Below are 19,852 nucleotides of genomic sequence, written 5' to 3' on the forward strand. Positions count from 1 at the left end.
GTAACCAAAACAGCATGGTACTGGTACGAAAACAGAGATATAGACGATGGAACAGAACAGAGCCCTCAGAAATAATGCCACACATCTACAACCATCTGATCTTTGACAAACCTAACAAAAACAAGAAATGGGGGAAGGATTCCCTATTTAATAAATGGTGTTGGGAAAACTGGCTAGCCATATGTAGAAAGCTGAAACTGGACCCCTTCCTTACTCCTTATACAAAAATTAATCCAAGATGGATTGAAGACTTAAATGTTAGACCTAAAACCATAAAAACCCTAGAAGAAAACCTAGGCAATACCATTCAAGACATAGGCATGGTCAAGGACTTCATGTCTAAAACACCGAAAGCAATGGCAACAAAAGACAAAATTGACAAATGGGATCTAATTAAACTAAAGAGCTTCTGCACAGCAAAAGAAACTACCATCAGAGTGTACAGGCAACCTACAGAATGAGAGAAGATTTTTGCAATCTACCCATCTGACAAAGGGCTAATATCCAGAATCTTCAAAGAACTCAAACAAATTTACAAGAAAAAAACAAACAACCCCATCAAAAAGTGCACAAAGGATATGAACAGACACTTCTCAAAAGAAGACATTTATGTAGCCAACAGACACATGAAAAAAATGCTTATCATCACCGGCCATCAGAGAAATGCAAATCAAAACCACAATGAGATACCATCTCACACCAATTAGAATGGCGATCATTAAAAAGTCAGGAAACAACAGGTGCTGGAGAGGATGTGGAGAAATAGGAACACTTTTACACTGTTGGTGGCACTGTAAACTATTTCAACCATTGTGGAAGTCGGTGTGGCGATTCTTCAGGGATCTAGAACTAGAAATACCATTTGACCCAGCCATCCCATTACTGGGTATATAAGCAACATATTATAAATCATGCTGCTATAAAGACACATGCACACGTATGTTTATTGTGGCACTATTCACAATAGCAAAGACTTGAAACCAACACAAATGTCCGTCAATGATAGACTGGACTAAGAAAATTTGGCACATATAAACCATGGAATACTATGCAGCCATAAAAAATGATGAGTGCATGTCCTTTGTGGGGACATGGATGAAGCTGGAAACCATCATTCTCAGCAAACTATCGCAAGGAAAAAAACCAAACACCTCATGTTCTCACTCATAGGTGGGATTTGAACAATGAGAACACTTGGACACAGGAAGGGGAACATCACAGGAAGGGACACAGGATGGGCCTGTCATGGGGTGGGGGCAGGGGGGAGGGAAAGCATTAGGAGATATACCTAATGTAAATTATGAGTTAATGGTTGCAGCACACCAACATGGCACATGTATACATATGTAACAAACCTGCACGTTGTGCACATGTACCCTAGAACTTAAAGTATAATAATAAAAAAACCTCATAGTTAATATAATAATTGTGAGTAATATTTTTCTCATAACATCAGGATGAGAAGATGTCTGCTTCCATCACTAGTATTCAACATTTTAATGAAGTTTCTAGCCAGGACAATTACAAAAAAAAAAAGAAACAAAGGACATCAAGTTTAGAAGTGATGTAGTAAAAATTATGTCTATCTGAAGATGGTATGATTTTGTGTATAGAAAATCCTAAAGAATTCACTAAAATCTACTAGAGCTAATAAATGAATTCAGAAATGTTGCAGGACATACCAATCAACCTACAAAATTCAATTGTTTTTCTATACCTCAGCAGTTAATAATCCAAAAATGAAACTGAGAAAATAATTATATTCGCAATAGCATCTAAAATAATAAAACACTTTGCATGAATTTAGTGATATAAGTACAACATTTGTACACTGAATACCACAAAAATTCATGGAAAGAAATCAAAGCAAATCTAAATAAATGGAAATCCATAAATGGGTCCATGATATGGATCATATCACTTATTACTGTAAAGATGGCAATACTCTTCAAATTGATCTGCAGATTTGACAAAAACCTTATCAAAATATCAGCTGGTATTTTTGCAAAAATGGACAGGCTGATCCTAAAGTTCATATGGAAATGCAAACCATCTTGAAAGAGATGCCAAACCATTTTGAAAAAGAAACTCAAAGTGGGAGAACTCAAAATTATTATTATTAATTGTTGCATAACATTCTGTTACTTCAATGCACAATGTATTTCAAAACAAATTTTGAATTGTTGAATATTTAGGAGGTCTTCACTTTTTTGCATAATGCAATAATATTTTTATACATTTTTATGCAGATCTTTGATACCTTAGAATAAGTTTTGGGGAGCTGAATTACCAGGGGAAAATGTATGAATTACTTGCAGGTTTTGAGACATAAGTCCAAAAGGCTTTTAGTAAAGTTCTGAAAATATAATAGCCTTACCAGCATGCTTGAAAATTTCCTGAATTTAAGAACACGTTAGATATTATAATGCTGTAATGTTTCCTAAAATGTAGTTGATTGTTACCTATTGTTTTTAACTTGCTGTTTTTGTTAATCAGTTGAAAGTACCATTTTCCATTATTTGCTGACCTTTTGTATTTCTTTTTTAAATGTTTGGTCCTATTATTTACCCATTCTGTTTGAGAATTTACCATTGTTAACAAAATATTGTCATTAAATTATTATAATTTATACCATAAAATTTCTCTTTTGTGAATTTTTAAATACAACCAGTTTAGGGAGTAATAGATTTTATTTCATGGAGTTGAAATGATAAAGTAGATAAAACATTTAAAGTGTTTAGTTCAGTGCTCGGCACATAGAAAGTCCTTAATTAATGTTAATTATTCTTATTCTCATTATTGATAGTAATATTAACAATCATCCTCAAATGAGAAGAAATTTCTCCAAATTGTGCCATTTTTTTAGGTGAGGAGTGTGCGTTGCTAGTGACCTCGCTCTGTGACTAACTGGATGCTTGGACCCTTATATACTTGATTGGAAGTCTCGTTGTGATAGCTCCCACTAAACACTCTAGAGACTGGGAGTCCTGTATCTCATACAACTTTGCATAACCAAGTTGGGACTTTCTCCTATGGAAGTGATAGAATATATTGAAAAACAAAACAAAACAAAAAAACAAAAACTCTCCACAGCATACAGCAAACTTTGGGAAGCACAGGGCTCTTTTTTATGCTTCAGTTGTTTTAATAGAATCTATAGCCCTGGGAGTGTACAGTTCCTCTTCCATTCCTCTTTCTCCTCCATCCTTACACCTCCATCCCTCACTCCCATAATATTCTGCCCTTTCTTCCCTCTCTCTGTTTAGCTATACAAAGATGAGTGTTGTGGGGACACTTCTCTGGCAAACCTAAAATGTAGCACCTAACCAGTAAAGAAATGTCAACCTAGGTTTTCAGGGTGAGTAGTTTCTAGGTCTCTAAACTGAACAAGACAACAAAGAATGTTTATGTTGTTTCCTACTTTCTCTAAGATAATTGTTCCTCTTTTCACTGTGTTTTAATTTATTTTTGAATGGGAAGGCAGTTGTGAGAGGCTGCATCAGAACTTGCTAACAAGATAAGTATTTTTAGAGACTCATGCCAATGGTTGATTTTTGTAATTCTCAGAATACTGAGATACTACTAGAGTGCTTTGCATAAAGTAGGGCTCAATAAATATTCATTGAATGAGTCCATGAATGAATCTCCTTCTTTCCTTTAGTCTCTGTCTTGTCCTTCATCTAAAATGGTTGTCACACATTTAGATTCTTTCATTTCTAGGGAAAGTTCTCCCTCTGGAATTTTTATTAAAATTATGTCTTGGGACGTCTAATCTCTAATGTGCAGGGGTACAGGAAGGCATTGCTGAAGTCTTTTCACATTCCACTCTGGAGAGGGTAACAGACTGCTTTTGTAACATGCAAAATTGATGACTCTCTAGGACATGAAGATAAATACAGTTTATATACTTCAGGTCACTGTTACTCATTGCTGTTTCCATGCCTCATATGTTAGATTTGATTCCTTGCCCCCTTGGTGACCCAGCCATCTCGGGATGAATTGATTCTCTCTCTTTGTGACAACACTCTGCTTTTATAAACCACAAGCACGGCTCTTATCTTCCACTGAGACTATTTTATATCCCTGATCCCTCAGCTGAAGGTGATCCAGGACAGAGATTTTGTCCAACTCATTTTTCTATGGAATCTACTATGAAGTTAGTGCGTGATAAATGTTTTTAAACAAATATTAATAGCTAATGAATAAACTGCTGGAAGAAACTGAAAACTGTTTTTCATGTCTCTTTGTTGCTGGGCTTTTGTTGGCTAGACCCCTGGGTAATGCTGTGTTTATCCAGCCTGACTTCTCCACAGTTGTGATTACATTCTAACATAGGTATCAAGGTTAGCCTGTAGTAGAGAGTTGGCAAGGTTTGCTTCAAGACTCACATGGTGGGGAAGAAAATTAGGCCTTGGAGAATTAGCTGAAGTCCCTCAGAGGATAAGACAATAATCTCCCTACCAAGTTCAAACGGTCAAAAAATCTGAGAAAAACAAGCAAAGTACTAGAGGCTTCGGGAAGCTGTTGCAGAGTAAGGACTAGTGTCCACGTTGATACACAAGGAAAAGATGACACAAATAAGCAGGAATCAAGTCAATCTCCAGCTTAAAACCCACCAACTTCTCCAATACTATGGTATGGGGCCAAAAAAGTAGTAAGCCTACTTTTCAAGATGGCACCTGTCCACCTTTTCTGCAACATTTTCAAAACTCTGCCTTTCAAGCAGATGCACCAGCAGTGTCCAAGAAGTTTAGAACACTTCACATGCTATATTGATTTTAAAAAACCTGTTGGGGAAAAATAACTGTAGACTCATGGGAAGTTGCAAAAATAATACAGAGAGGTCCTGTGTACCCATTACCCAGTTTCCCCCAGCAATGACATCCTATATAACTATAATGCATCATTGAAACCAGAATGTTAACTCTGCTGTTTGTTACCTCAGTAGCCTTGCTCAAGCTGATCCTTCTGTTTGCAATAATGCTCATTACCTAGTCTCAGTCAGACATCACCTCCTTTAGTAATTCTTTGTTAGCCTTAAATTCTATTCACATAGCACCCTGTGTATATTTGTATCACAACATATCTTATAATAATAATCTGTTTTCTCCTGCACGGACTGTGAGCTCCTTAATGGCAAAATCTAAGTTTGCTTCATCTATATATCCTTACTCAGTGATAATTTATAATGTTGGCACATTATAGATAATGCATACTTGTTGAAGAAATGAACTAATGAAATGTTTCAAGGTAACATATCGATGTTATAATATCGATGGAAAGAAAGGGATTATTTAAGAAGTAGTCTGCAATACTTGGTGATTGATTATATGAGACAAGGGTTGAGTGATGAGAGATAGAGAGAGGACACTGGGATCCTGTAATTTAGTAGGTTTAGTGGATAGGGTTGCTTGGTGCCCCAGAATCTACTCCAACTGTTTTTTTTTTTCCTGGCACTAGAATTGACTTTTAATTTGTCCTAAAGCTGCTGAAGCAAAAACCATGATAAAACATCCTGCTTTCTTTTCTTTTACAACCCCCCGAATGCAAAAAAAAACAAAAACAAAAACAAAAAAAACAATGAAAACCCAAACAATTTGTAGGAAAAAATGATTTGGTCCATGGGATGAAACAGTATAAATTCAAAACTTACAGATAAGAGTTACCTCTATCACTCAACTCTTTAAAAATCTTATATGAATATCCAGTCAAAACCAACAAGGTATTGCCCTTGAAATGTTATCTATACAGATTTCCAAGGAGAACCCAGGACTGTATACTGTCTTGGAATGTCCTCAGAAGGCTCTGTCAGGCCTACACTCTTGATTCCAGTGGTGGAGCATTTGACAAAGGTCTAGACAATCAAAATGCTTTCCAAGGAATGTTGACCATTTTAGAGTTTGTCACCTGACCTAAGCTACTTCATGTTCCTTTTAGGGGGCCTACCCCTGCAAAAAAGGCTTTTGATCTTTTCTTCTGCACTTGCAGTGGGGAGGTTATGAATCAGAGGCTGCTGTAGCTCTTCTGATCCCCCACGGATGAATCTGGCTGTGTTGGAAGTCATCAAGTGAGAGAATTGAGAGAAAGCAAGTCTGGATGATACTTTATGGAACCCAAATTGAGCCATGCCTGACGAAAACTCTTTACCTTGGATCAAAGGAGATGACACTTTGAGTGAATGAATTACCTCTTTCACTAGAGCTATTTTGAATTGGTAATTTTTTAAAGAAAGGGTCCTAACTGACATCTAAAAATTCTGTTCGAGAGTATCAGAACTTTCTGGATTTTTCTTTCCTCATTCAGAATGTTTTCTAGTAGATTTATAGTTAAAAGGTCCAACCAGCGTAAAAGCTTCTCTTTTTAAAAAATAAAACTTGGCAAAGATACTCATTTCAAATGGTGCCTCAGGTCACTCAACTTTTTAGGAGGTCTCATTTCACAGCAGTTACAAATATCCATGCATTTGAAACTGCAGGCAAACTTTTTTTTTCTTTTCTCTTTTCTCTTTTGAGATGGGAGATGGGGTCTCTCTTTGTTGCCAAGGCTGGAGTTCAGCCATGTGATCATAGCTCTCTGCAGCCTCAAAGCCTTGGGCTCAAGCAATCCTCCCAGCTTCCCAAGTAGTTAGGACAACAGGCATGCCTTGCCTGTTTTTTGTTTTTTTTTTTTTTCCTGTGGAGACAGGGTCTCACTGTGTTGCCCAGGCTGGTCTCAAACTCCTGGCCACAAGCGATCTTCCCGCTTTGGCCTCCCAAAATGCTGGGATTACAGGCATGGGCCACCATGTCCGGCCCAAACCTGGTTTATAATCGTGACTTTTCCAAGTACTATCTGCATGACTTGTACATGTTTTTCACTTCTTGAAGCCTCAATTCTAGCATCTGGTGAATGGGAATAAAAATATCTACCTAACTGCTGTGAAAATTAAATGAGATAATGTTTGTAAAACATTGTATCCAGCATTTAGCAAGTGCTAGTTATTTGATGGAGAAGAAAAGAACAAAAACAAGAACAAGAAGCAGAAGAAAAAGAATAATAATAAGAAGAGGAATAGGGAGAAAAATTAAGAGAAAAGAAAGAGGAGGAGAAAAAGGAAATTAAGGAAAGGAAAAGAAATAAGGCTTTATACACTCTATCAAGTAGATCAAAATCTTGATCATGAATGAAGAATCTACAACACTGAGCATGAATCTCACTGCCCTGCCAATAGTCTGTCTTCCACTTCTACAACATCTCAGGATACTGTTGGTCTCACTGGTAGCGATAGGTAAATTATTCTCCTGCTTTCACAATAGGAATCTCAATGCTGAATAAGTTTACTGAAAAGTTTTAAGTCTCTTTCTGTTTTATTGAAACTTTTACTTTTTTTTTTTTTTGATACAGGGTTTTATTTTGTCAGTCAAGCTGGAATGCAGTGGCGTGAACATTGCTTACTGCAGCTTCAATCTCCTGAGGTCAAACAATCTTCTCACCTCAGCCTCGCAAGCAGCTAGGACTACAGGCATGTGCCACCACGCCCCACTAATTTTTTAATTTTTCTTTTGTGGAGACGCAGTCTTGTTATCTTGAACAGGCTGGTCTTGAACTCTTGGAGTCAAGCAATCCTTCTGCCTCAGACTCTCAAAGTGCTGGGATTACAGGCATGAGCCACCACATTCAGCCAGGAAAAGTTTTTGTACATTTAAAAAATTATAGGATATTTGTGTATATAGCTTTGCTGGTTTGACTTCCTAGAATAGCTCCCAGGAACACAAAGTACTTAATTGATTAGTATAAAATGATTATGTCATACTCACATGTTGGTTTTCTAAATGCACTTAATTTTTCTGATTAAGAACTGAAAACTATGCTGACCAGGGACACTGTAGACCTGTGGCTCATTTTTGCATAAAGGTTATGTGTTTATTGTCTGATTTGGTCATGCCTATAGGCCAATAGTGTTTTATTTTGAAATGTTTCAAACTTACAATAAGGCACAAAAATAATATAATAGACACCATGGTCTCAGCATCCAGATTTAAGAGATGTTAAGATGTTACTACGTTTGCTTCAGACTTTTCTAACACACACACAAAATACTAGAGATGCAGCCAAAACCCCATCTATCAATCCCTTCCTCTTCTCTCCAGAGGTAGCTATTACATTGAAGTCGGTATGTAATATTTCCATGTTTGGCTTTGTACATGTTCTACTTATGTATGTATTCATTAACTTCGTACTACTTTTTAATGTTCTTATATAGTTTCATTAGTAACATCCCAGAGGGCATATCATTTGTGAGTTTGATTTTCTCACTCTTCATTTCTTTTTTGGGGATAATTTATTCTTGGTACATGTAGATCTCCTCACTCCACTACAATTGCTTTATGGTACTTAATATATGAATAAACTATGGTATATTTATTTCCTACTGATGGACAGTTAGGCTGTTTCTTCTTTTTGCTATAACACTGGTGTAATGAATATCCTTGTACAATTCTTAAAATTTTCTTTGCTTTCTAGTTGTCTAGAAATCTAGGCATAGACTTTTTGAATCATTAACACTAACATCTTTAGCTTTTTAGGGTATTGCCAAGTTGCATTTCAAAGTAGTTTTACCAGTATATATTCACATAAACAGTATGCTGGTTTCTACTTTTTCATATTCTTGCCAATACTTGGTGTTTGTAACACTTAAAATGTTCCCATCCTGCAAATTCACACATGACAATATTAACCTGAAATGTAAATGGGCTAAATGCTCCAATTCAAAGGCACAGACTGGCAAATTGGATAAAGAATCAAGACCCATAGGTATGCTGTATTCAGGTGACCCATCTCATGTGCAAAAACACACATAGGCTCAAAATAAACGGATGGAGGAATATTTACCAGGCAAATAGAAAGCAAAAACAAAAACAAAAAAAAGCAGGGCTTGCAATTCTAGTCTCTGATAAAAACAGACCTTAAACCAACAAAGATCAAAAAAGACAAAGAAGGGCATTACATAATGGTAAAGGGATCAATGCAACAAGAAGAGCTAATTATTCTAAATATATATGAACCCAATACAGGAGCACTCAGATTCATAAAGCAAGTTCTTAGAGATCTACAAAGAGACTTAGACTCCCACACAATAATAGTGGGAGACTTTAACACTCCACTGTCAATATTAGATCAACGAGACAGAAAATTAACAAGGATATTCAGGAGTTGAACTCAGCTCTGAACCAGGCAGACCTAACAGACATCTACATAACTCTCCACCCCAAATCAACAGAATATACATTCTTCTCAGCACAACATCACACTTATTCTAAAATTGACCACATAATTGGAAGTAAAACACTCCTCAGCAAAAGCAAAAGAATGCAAATCATAACAGTCTCTCAGACCACAGTGCAATCAAATTAGAACTCAGGATTAAGAAATTCACTGAAAATTGCACAACTGCATGGAAACTGAACAACCTGTTCCTGAATGACTACTGGGTAAATAATGAAATGAAGGCAGAAATAAATAAGTTCTTTGAAACCAATGGAACAAAGACACAATGTACCAGAATCTCTGGGACACAGCTAAAGCAGTATTTAGAGGAAAATTTATAGCACTAAATGCCCACAAGGGAAAGCAGGAAAGATCTAAAATCAACACCCTAACATCACAATTAAAAGAACTAGAGAAGCAAGAGCAAACACATTCAAAAACTAGCAGAAGACAAAACATAACTAAGATCAGAGCAGAATTGAAGGAGACAGAGACACAAAAAAACCTTCAAAAAAATCAATGAATCCAGGAGCTGGCTTTTTGAAAAGATCAACAAAATTGATAGACCACTAGCCAGACTAATAAAGTAGAAAAGAGAGAATAATCAAATAGACACAATAAAAAATGATAAAGGGGATATCACCACTGATCCCACAGAAATACAAACTACCATCAGAGAATATTATAAACACCTCTACGCAAATAAACTAGAAAATCTAGAAGAAATAGATAAAATTCCTGGACACATACACCCTCCCAAGACTAAACCAGAAAGAAGTTGAATCCATGAACAGACCAATAACAAGTTCTGAAACTGAGGCAGTAGTTAATACCTACCAACCAAAAAAAGACCAGGACCACATGGATTCACAGCCGAATTCTACCAGATGTATAAAGAAAAGCTGGTACCACTCCTTCTGAAACTATTCCAATCAATAGAAAAAGAGGGACTCCTCCTGAACTCATTTTATGAGGCAAGCATCATCCTGATATCCAAACCTGGCAGAGACACAACAAAAAAAGAAAATCTTAGGCTAATATCCCTGATGAGCACTGATGCAAAAATCCTCAATAAAATACTGGCAAACTGAATCCAGCAGCACATCAAAAAGCTTATCCACCATGATCAAGTTGGCTTCATCCCTGGGATGCAAGGCTGGTTCAATATACACAAATTAATAAACATAATCTATCACATAAACAGAAACAATGACAAAAACCATATGATTATTTCAATAGATGCAGAAAAGGCCTTTGATAAAATTCAACACCCCTTCATGCTAAAAACTCTCAATAAACTAGGTATTGGTGGAATGTATCTCAAAATAATAAGAGCTATTTATGAAAAACCCACAGCCAATATCATACTGAATGGGCAAAAGCTGGAAGCATTCCCTTTGAAAACTGACACGAGACAAGAATGCCCTCTCTCACCACTCCAATTCAACAGAGTACTGGAAGTTCTGGCCAGGGCAATCAGGCAACAGAAAGAAATAAAGTGTATTCAAATAGGAAGAAAGGAAGTCAAACTGTCTCTGTTTGCAGATGATATAATTGTATTTTTACAAAATCCCATCGTCTCAGCCCAAAATCTCCTTAAGCTGATAAGCAACTTCAGGAAAGTCTCTCTCAGGATACAAAATCAATGTGTAAAAATCACAAGCATTAATATACACCAATGATAAACAAACAGAGAGCTAAATCATGAGTGAACTCCCATTCACAATTGCTACAAAGAGAATAAAATACCTAGGAATCCAACTTACAAGGGATGTGAAGGACCTCTTCAAAGAGAACTACAAACCACTGCTCAAGGAAATAAGAGAGGACACAAAGAAATGGAAAAACATTTCATGCTCACGGATAGGAAGAATCAATAACCTGAAAATGGCCATACTGGCCAAAGTAATTCGTAGATTCAATGCTATACCCATGAAGCTACCATTGGCTTTCTTCACAGAATTAGGAAAAACTTTAAATTTCATATGGAACCAAAAAAGAGCACATATAGCCAAGACAATCCTAAGCAAAAAGAACAAAGCTAGAGGCATCACGCTACCTGTTTTCAAACTATATTACAAGGCTACAGTAACCAATACAGCATGGTACTGGCACCAAAACAGATACATAGACCAATGTAACAGAACAGAGGCCTCAGAAATAACACCACACATCTACAACCACCTGATCTTTGACAAACATGTCACAAACAAGCAATAGGGAAAGGAATCCCTATTTAATAAATGGTGTTGGGAAAACTGGCTAGCCATATGCAGAAAACTGAAACTGGACCCCTTCCTTACACCTTATACAAAAATTAACTCAAGATGGATTAAAGACCTAAACGTAAGACATAAAACCATAAAAACCCTAGAAGAAAACCTGGTAATACCATTCAGGACATAGGCATGGGCAAAGACTTCATGACTAAAACACCAAAAGCAATGGTAACAGAAGCCAAAATTGACAAATTGGTTCTAATTAAACTAAAGAGCTTCTGCACTGCAAAAGAAACTACCATCAGAGTGAACAGGTAACCTAATAGAATGGGAGAAAAGTTTTGCAATCTACTCATCTGACAAAGGGCTAATATCCAGAATCTACAAGGAACTTAAACAAACTTACAAGAAAAAAATAAAACCCCCCTTCAAAAAGTGGGTGAAGGATATGAACATACACTTTTCAAAAGAAGACATTTATGCAGCCAACAAACATGAAAAAAAGCTCATCATAACTGGTCATTAGAGAAATGCAAATCAAAATCACAATGAGATACCATCTCATGCCAGTTAGAATGGCGATCATTGAAAAGTCAGGAAACAACAGATGCTGGAGAGCATGTGGAGAAATAGGAACACTTTTACACTGTTGGTGGGAGTGTAAGTTAGTTCAACCATTGTGGAAGACAGTGTGGCAATTCCTGAAGGATCTAGGACTTGGAATACCATTTGACCCAGCAATCCCATTACTGGGTATATCCCCAAAGGATTATAAATTATTCTATAAAGACACATGCACATGTATGTTTATTGCAGCACTATTCACAATAGCAAAGACTTGGAACCAACCCAAATTTCCACTAATGATAGACTGGATAAAGAAAATGTGGCACATATACACCATGGAACACTAGGCAGCCATAAAAAAGGATGATTTCATGTCCTTTGCAGGGACATGGATGAAGCTGGAAACCATCATTCTCAGCAAACTAACATAAAAACAGAAAACCAAACATTATATGTTCTCACTCATAAGTGGGAGTTGAACAATGAGAACACATGGACACAAGGAGGGGAACATGACACACTGGGGCTTGCCGGGGGCTGGAGAGCAAGGGGAGGGATAGCATTAGAAGAAATACCTAATGTAGATGTTGGGTTGATTGGTGCAGCAAAGCACCATGGCAGGTATATACCTATGTAACAAACCTTCACGTTCTGCACATGTAAACAGAACTTAAAGTATAATAATAAAAAAAAAAGTCCCCACCCTGATAGGCAGAAGATAATGCCTTAATGATATTTTAACTTCTGTTCCCCTTCTTTTGGGAGAAAACAAATAGTCACATGGTCATAAAAGACTGGGAAATGAAGTCCGGCCTTGGACAGCCACCCCACAGTGCCAACTCCACATTGTGGAAGGAGCACACATTTCTGGTGGACAGCTAGCTGACTAATTAATGAGACTAGTGACTAGTCTCAGCCACTGACTAATTTTTTAAAAATGCTTCCACTGACTTAGCTCTCATTATCAATTACTGAAAGACACAGGTTAAAATTCTCCATTATCACTGCATATTTGTCAAATTTTCTTTGTAACTCATTTTTTGCTTATATGAATTTTTATGCTGTGTTGTTAGGAGTCTACAGGCTCAACGTTATTTTGTTTTCCTAGTGAGTTGTTTATTTTCACATTATGTAATGGCGCTCTTTATCTGTGTGGTTTTTTTAAATTAAATTTTATTATTATTATACTTTAAGTTTTAAGGTACATGTGCACAATGTACAGGTTAGTTACATATGTATACATATGCCATGGTGGTGCGCTGCACCCATTAACTCATCATTTAGCATTAGGTGTATCTCCTAATGCTATCCCTCCTCCCTCCCCCCACCCCCCAACAGTCCCCAGAGTGTGATGTTCCCCTTCCTGTGTCCATGTGTTCTCATTGTTCAATTCCCACCTATGAGTGAGAACATGCGGTGTTTGGTTTTTTGTCCTTGCAATAGTTCACTGAGAATGATGATTTCCAAGTTCATCCATGTCCCTACAAGGGACATGAACTCATCCTTTTTTATGGCTGCATAGTATTCCATGGTGTATATGTGCCACATTTTCTTAATCCAGTCTATAATTGTTGGACATTTGGGTTGGTTCCAAGTCTTTGCTATTGTGAATAGTGCCGCAATAAACATACGTGTGCATGTGTCTTTATAGCAGCATGATTTATAGTCCTTTGGGTACATACTCAGTAATGGGATGACTAGGTCAAATGGTATTTCTAGTCTTAGATCCCTGAGGAATCGCCACACTGACTTCCACAATGGTGGAACTAGTTTACAGTCCCAACAACAGTGTAAAAATGTTCCTATTTCTCCACATCGTCTCCAGCACCTGTTGTTTCCCGACTTTTTAATGATTGCCATTCCAACTGGTGTGAGATGGTATCTCATTGTGGTTTTGATTTGCATTTCTCTGATGGCCAGTGATGATGAGCATTTTTTCATGTGTCTTTTGGCTGCATAAATGTCTTCTTTTGAGAAGTGTCTGTTCATATCCTTTGCCCACTTTTTGATGGGGTTATTTGCTTTCTTCTTGTAAATTTGTTTGAGTTCATTGTAGATTCTGGATATTTGCCCTTTGTCAGATGAGTAGGTTGCGAAAATTTTCTCCCATTTTGTAGGTTGCTTGTTCACTCTGATGGTAGTTTCTTTTGCTGTGCAGAAGCTCTTCAGTTTAATTAGATCACATTTGTCAATTTTGGCTTTTGTTGCCATTGCTTTTTGTGTTTTAGACATGAAGTCCTTGCCCATGCCTATGTCCTGAATGGTAATGCCTAGGTTTTCTTCTAGGTTTTTTATGGTTTTAGGTCTAATGTTTAAGTCCTTAATCCATCTTGAATTAATTTTTGTATAAGGTGTAAGGAAGGGATCCAGTTTCAGCTTTCTACATATGGCTAGCCAGTTTTCCCAGCACCATTTATTAAATAGGGAATCTTTCCCCATTGCTTGTTTTTGTCAGGTTTGTCAAAGATCAGATAGTTGTAGATAAGAGGCGTTATTTCTGAGGGCTCCGTTCTGCTCCATTGGTCTATATCTCTGTTTTGGTACCAGTACCATGCTGTTTTGGTTACTGTAGCCTTGTAGTATAGTTTGAAGTCAGGTAGCGTGATGCCTCCAGCTTTGTTCTTTTGGCTTAGGATTGACTTGGTGATGCAGGCTCTTTTTTGGTTCTATATGAACTTTAAAGTAGTTTTTTCCAATTCTGTGAAGAAAGTCATTGGTAGCTTGATGGGGATGGCACTGAATCTATAAATTACCTTGGGCAGTATGTCCATTTTCACGATATTGATTCTTCCTACCCATGAGCATGGAATGTTCTTCCGTTTCTTTGTATCCTCTTTTATTTCATTGAGCAGTGGCTTGTAGTTCTCCTTGAAGATGTCCTTCATGTCCCTTGTAAGGTGGATTCCTAGGTATTTTATTCTCTTTGAAGCAATTGTGACTGGGAGTTCACTCATGATTTGGCTCTCTGTTTGTCTGTTGTTCGTGTATAGAAAGGCTTGTGATTTTTGTACATTGATTTTGTATGTTGAGACTTTGCTGAAGTTGCTTATCAGCTTAAGGAGATTTTGGGCTGAGACAATGGGGTTTTCTAGATATACAATCATGTCATCTGCAAACAGGGACAATTTGACTTCCTCTTTTCCTAATTGAATACCCTTTATTTCCTTCTACTGCCTAATTGCCCTGGCCAGAACTTCCAATACTATGTTGAATAGGAGTGGTGAGAGAGGGCATCCCTGTCTTGTGCCAGTTTTCAAAGGGAATGCTTCCAGTTTTTGCCCATTCAGTATGATATTGGCTGTGTGTCTGTCATAGATAGCTCTTATTATTTTGAGATACGTCCCATCAATACCTAATTTATTGAGAGTTTTTAGCCTGAAGCGTTGTTGAATTTTGTCAAAGGCCTTTTCTGCATCTATTGAGATAATCACGTGGCTTTTGTCTTTGGTTCTGTTTATATGCTGGATACATTTATTGATTTGCATATATTGAACCAGCCTTGCATCCCAGGGATGAAGCCCACTTGACCGTAGTGGATAAGCTTTTTGATGTGCTGCTGGACTCAGTTTGCCAGTATTTTATTGAGGATTTTTGCATCAATGTTCATCAAGGATATTGGTCTAAAATTCTCTTTTTTGGTTGTGTCTCTGGAAGGCTTTGGTATCAGGATGATGCTGGCCTCATAAAATGAGTTAGGGAGGATTCCCTCTTTTTCTATTGATTGGAATAGTTTCAGAAGGAATGGTACCAGTTCCTCCTTGTACCTCTGGTAGAATTCGGCTGTGAATCCATCTGGTCCTGGACTCTCTTTGGTTGGTAAGCTGTTGATTATTGCCACAATTTCAGATCCTGTTATTGGTCTATTCAGAGATTCAGCTTCTTCCTGGTTTAGTCTTGGGAGAGTGTATGTGTCCAGGAATTTATCCATTTCTTCCAGATTTTCTAGTTTATTTGCATAGAGTTGTTTGTAGTATTCTCTGATGGGGAGTTTTTATTTCAGTGGGATCGGTGGTGATATCCCCTTTATCATTTTTTATTGTGTCTATTTGATTCTTCTCTCTTTTTTTATTAGTCTTGCTAGCAGTCTATCAATTTTGTTGATCCTTTCAAAAAACCAGATCCTGGATTCATTAATTTTTTGGAGCGTTTTTGTGTCTGTATTTCCTTCAGTTCTGCTCTGATTTTAGTTATTTCTTGCCTTCTGCTAGCTTTTGAATGTGTTTGCTCTTGCATTTCTAGTTCTTTTAATTGTGATGTTAGGGTGTCAATTTTGGATCTTTCCTGCTTTCTCTTGCGGGCATTTAGTACTATAAATTTCCCTCTACACGCTGCTTTGAATGTGTCCCAGAGATTCTGGTATGTTGTGTCTTTGTTCTCATTGGTTTCAAAGAACATCTTTATTTCTGCCTTCATTTCGTTATGTACCCAGTAGTCATTCAGGAGCAGGTTGTTCAGTTTCCATGTAGTTGAGCGGTTTTGAGTGAGTTTCTTAATCCTGAGTTCTAGTTTGATTGCACTGTGGTCTGAGGGACAGTTTGTTATAATTTCTGTTCTTTTACATTTGCTGAGGAGAGCTTTACTTCCAACTATGTGGTCAGTTTTGGAATAGGTGTGGTGTGTTGCTCAAAAGAATATATATTCTGTTGATTTGGGGTAGAGAGTTCCGTAGATGTCTATTAAGTCCGGTTGGTGCAGAGCTGAGTTCAATTCCTGGGTATCCTTGTTGACTTTCTGTCTTGTTGATCTGTCTAATGTTGACAGTGGGGTGTTAAAGTCTCCCGTTATTATTGTGTGGGAGTCTAAGTCTCTTTGTAGGTCACTCAGGACTTGCTTTATGAATCTGGGTGCTCCTGTATTGGGTGCATATATATTTAGGATAGTTAGCTCTTCTTGTTGAATTGATCCCTTTACCATTATGTAATGGCCTTCTTTGTCTCTTTTGATCTTTGTTGGTTGAAAGTCTGTTTTATCAGAGACTAGGATTGCAACCCCTGCCTTTTTCTGTTTTCCATTTGCTTGGTAGATCTTCCTCCATCCTTTTTTTGAGCCTATGTGTGTCTCTGCACGTGAGATGGGTTTCCTGAATACAGCACACTGATGGGTCTTGACTCTTTATCCAATTTGCCAGTCTTTGTCTTTTAATTGGAGCATTTAGTCCATTTATATTTAAAGTTAATATTGTTATGTGTGAATTTGATCCTGTCATTATGATGTTAGCTGGTTATTTTGCTTGTTAGTTGATGCAGTTTCTTCCTAGCATCGATGGTCTTTACATTTTGGCATGATTTTGCAGCGGCTGGTACCAGTTGTTCCTTTCCATGTTTAGTGCTTCCTTCAGGAGCTCTTTTAGGGCATGCCTGGTGGTGACAAAATCTGTCAGCATTTGCTTGTCTGTAAAGGATTTTCTTTCTCCTTCACTTATGGAGCTTAGTTTGGCTGGATATGAAATTCTGGGTTGAAAATTCTTTTCTTTAAGAATGTTGAATATTGGCCCCCACTCTCTTCTGGCTTGTAGAGTTTCTGCTGAGAGATCCGCTGTTAGTCTGATGGGCTTCCCTTTGTGGGTAACCCGACCTTTCTCTCTGGCTGCCCTTAACTTTTTTTCCTTCATTTCAACTTTGGTGAATCTGACAATTATGTGTCTTGGAGTTGCTCTTCTCGAGGAGTATCTTTGTGGTGTTCTCTGTATTTCCTGAATCTGAATGTTGGCCTGCCTTGCTAGATTGGGAAAGTTTTCCTGGATAATATCCTGCAGAGTGTTTTCCAACTTGGTTCCATTCTCCCTGTCACTTTCAGGTACACCAATCAGACGTAGATTTGGTCTTTTCACATAGTCCCATATTTCTTGGAGGCTCTGTTCGTTTCCTTTTATTCTTTTTTCTCTAAACTTCCCTTCTCGCTTCATTTCATTCATTTCATCTTCCATCACTGATACCCTTTCTCCAGTTGATCGCATCAGCTCCTGAGGCTTCTGCATTCTTCACATAGTTCTCGAGCCTTGGCTTTCACTGCCATCAGCTCCTTTAAGCACTTCTCTGTATTGGTTATTCTAGTTATACATTCATCTAAATTTTCTTCAAAGTTTTTAACTTCTTTGCCTTTGGTTTGAATTTCCTCCTGTAGCTTGGAGTAGTTTGATTGTCTGAAGCCTTCTTCTCTCAACTCGTCAAAGTCATTCTCCATCCAGCTTTGTTCCATTGCTGGTGAGGAACTGCGTTCCTTTGGAGGAGGAGAGGCTCTCTGCTTTTTAGAGTTTCCAGTTTTCCTACTCTGTTTTTTCCCCATCTTTGTGATTTTATCTACTTCTGGTCTTTGATGATGGTGATGTACAGATGGGTTTTTGGTGTGGATGTCCTTTCTGTTTGTTAGTTTTCCTTCTAACAGACAGGACCCTCAGCTGCAGGTGTGTTGGAGTTTGTTAGAGGTCCACTTCGGACCCTGTTTGCCTGGGTATTAGCAGTGGTGGCTGCAGAACAGCGGGTTTTCGTGAACCGCAAATGCTGCTGTCTGATCGTTCCTCTGGAAGTTTTGTCTCAGAGGAGTACCCAGCCCTGTGAGGTGTCAGTCTGCCCCTACTTGGGGGTGCCTCCCAGTTAGGCTGCTCGGGGGTCGGGGGTCAGGGACCCACTTGAGGAGGCAGTCTGCCAGCTCTCAGATTTCCAGCTGCATGCTGGGAGAACCACTGCTCTCTTCAAAGCTGTCAGACAGGGACATTTAAGTCTGCAGAGGTTACTGCTTTTTGTTTGTCTGTGCCCTGCCCCCAGAGGTGGAGCCTACAGAGGCAGGCAGGCCTCCTTGAGCTGTGGAGGGCTCCACCCAGTTAGAGCTTCCCAGCTGCTTTGTTTACCTAAGCAAGCCTGGACAATGGCGGGCACCCCTCCCCCAGCCTCGCTGCCGCCTTGCAGTTTGATCTCAGACTGCTGTGCTAGCAATCAGCGAGACTCTGTGGGCGTAGGACCCTCCAAGCCGGGTGCAGGATACAATCTCCTGGTGCGCCGTTTTTTAAGCCCGTCGGAAAAGCACAGTATTAGAGTGGGAGTGACCTGATTTTCCAGGTGCCGTTTGTCACCCCTTTCTTTGACTAGGAAACGGAACTCCCTGACCCCTTGCGCTTCCCGAGTGAGGCAATGCCTCGCCCTGCTTCGGCTCGTGCATGGTGCGCTGCACCCACTGTCCTGCACTCACTGTCTGGCACTCCCTAGTGAGATGAACCTGGTAAGTCAGATGGAAATACAGAAATCACCTGTCTTCTGCATCGCTCATGCTGGGAGCTGTAGACCGGAGCTGTTCCTATTCGGCCATCTTGGCTCCCCCCATCTGTGTGGTTTGTTAATATCATTTTCCACTCACTTACCTTCAAGCTTTCTTGTTTGTTCTAGATGCATTTTTTATATAGAGCCTACGGCTGGCCTTTTTTTTTTTTGAGAAGCTATTTCTTTTAACACTGTTTTTAGTCTGTTTACGTTAGTAGGACTTATTCATATTCTTGGATTTAGTTTAGCATATTCTTCTGTTTTATTTAAGATTAGCTTTATTTTTCATTCTTCTTACCTTCTATTGGATAGAACACATTTTCTTTTTATAATTTGCATCATTTTTAAATTTTTATTTCTATAGATTTAGGGGTACAAGTGCAGTTTTGTTGCATGGACATATTGCATACTGGTAAAGTCTGGGCTAAAATGTAACCATTACTCAAATAATATACATTGTACCCATTAGATAATCTCTCATCCCTCACTCTCCTCCTACTCTTCCATCTTTGCAAGGGTCCACTGTCTATAATTTCATATTCTCTGTCCATGTGTACACATTATTTA

At 38.2% G+C, this 19,852-nt stretch overlaps 2 long non-coding RNA genes across 2 annotated transcripts in view; one reads left to right on the plus strand and one right to left on the minus strand.

Annotated features, from left to right (window-relative positions):
• LINC00534 (long intergenic non-protein coding RNA 534) overlaps positions 1-7,776 on the plus strand; it is a 166,472-nt gene extending 158,696 nt beyond the window's left edge. The window contains exon 4 of the long non-coding RNA NR_051989.1: positions 7,384-7,776. This is a non-coding gene — a long non-coding RNA (long intergenic non-protein coding RNA 534). The remainder of the gene's footprint in view (positions 1-7,383) is intronic.
• Positions 1-19,852, minus strand: part of LOC124901975 (uncharacterized) — a 267,232-nt gene that overhangs the window by 85,075 nt on the left and 162,305 nt on the right. The gene's annotated exons all lie outside the window — the stretch shown is intronic.

The sequence above is a fragment of the Homo sapiens genome, chromosome 8 (assembly GCF_000001405.40).
Source record: "Homo sapiens chromosome 8, GRCh38.p14 Primary Assembly".
NCBI classification, from domain to species: Eukaryota; Metazoa; Chordata; class Mammalia; order Primates; family Hominidae; genus Homo; species Homo sapiens.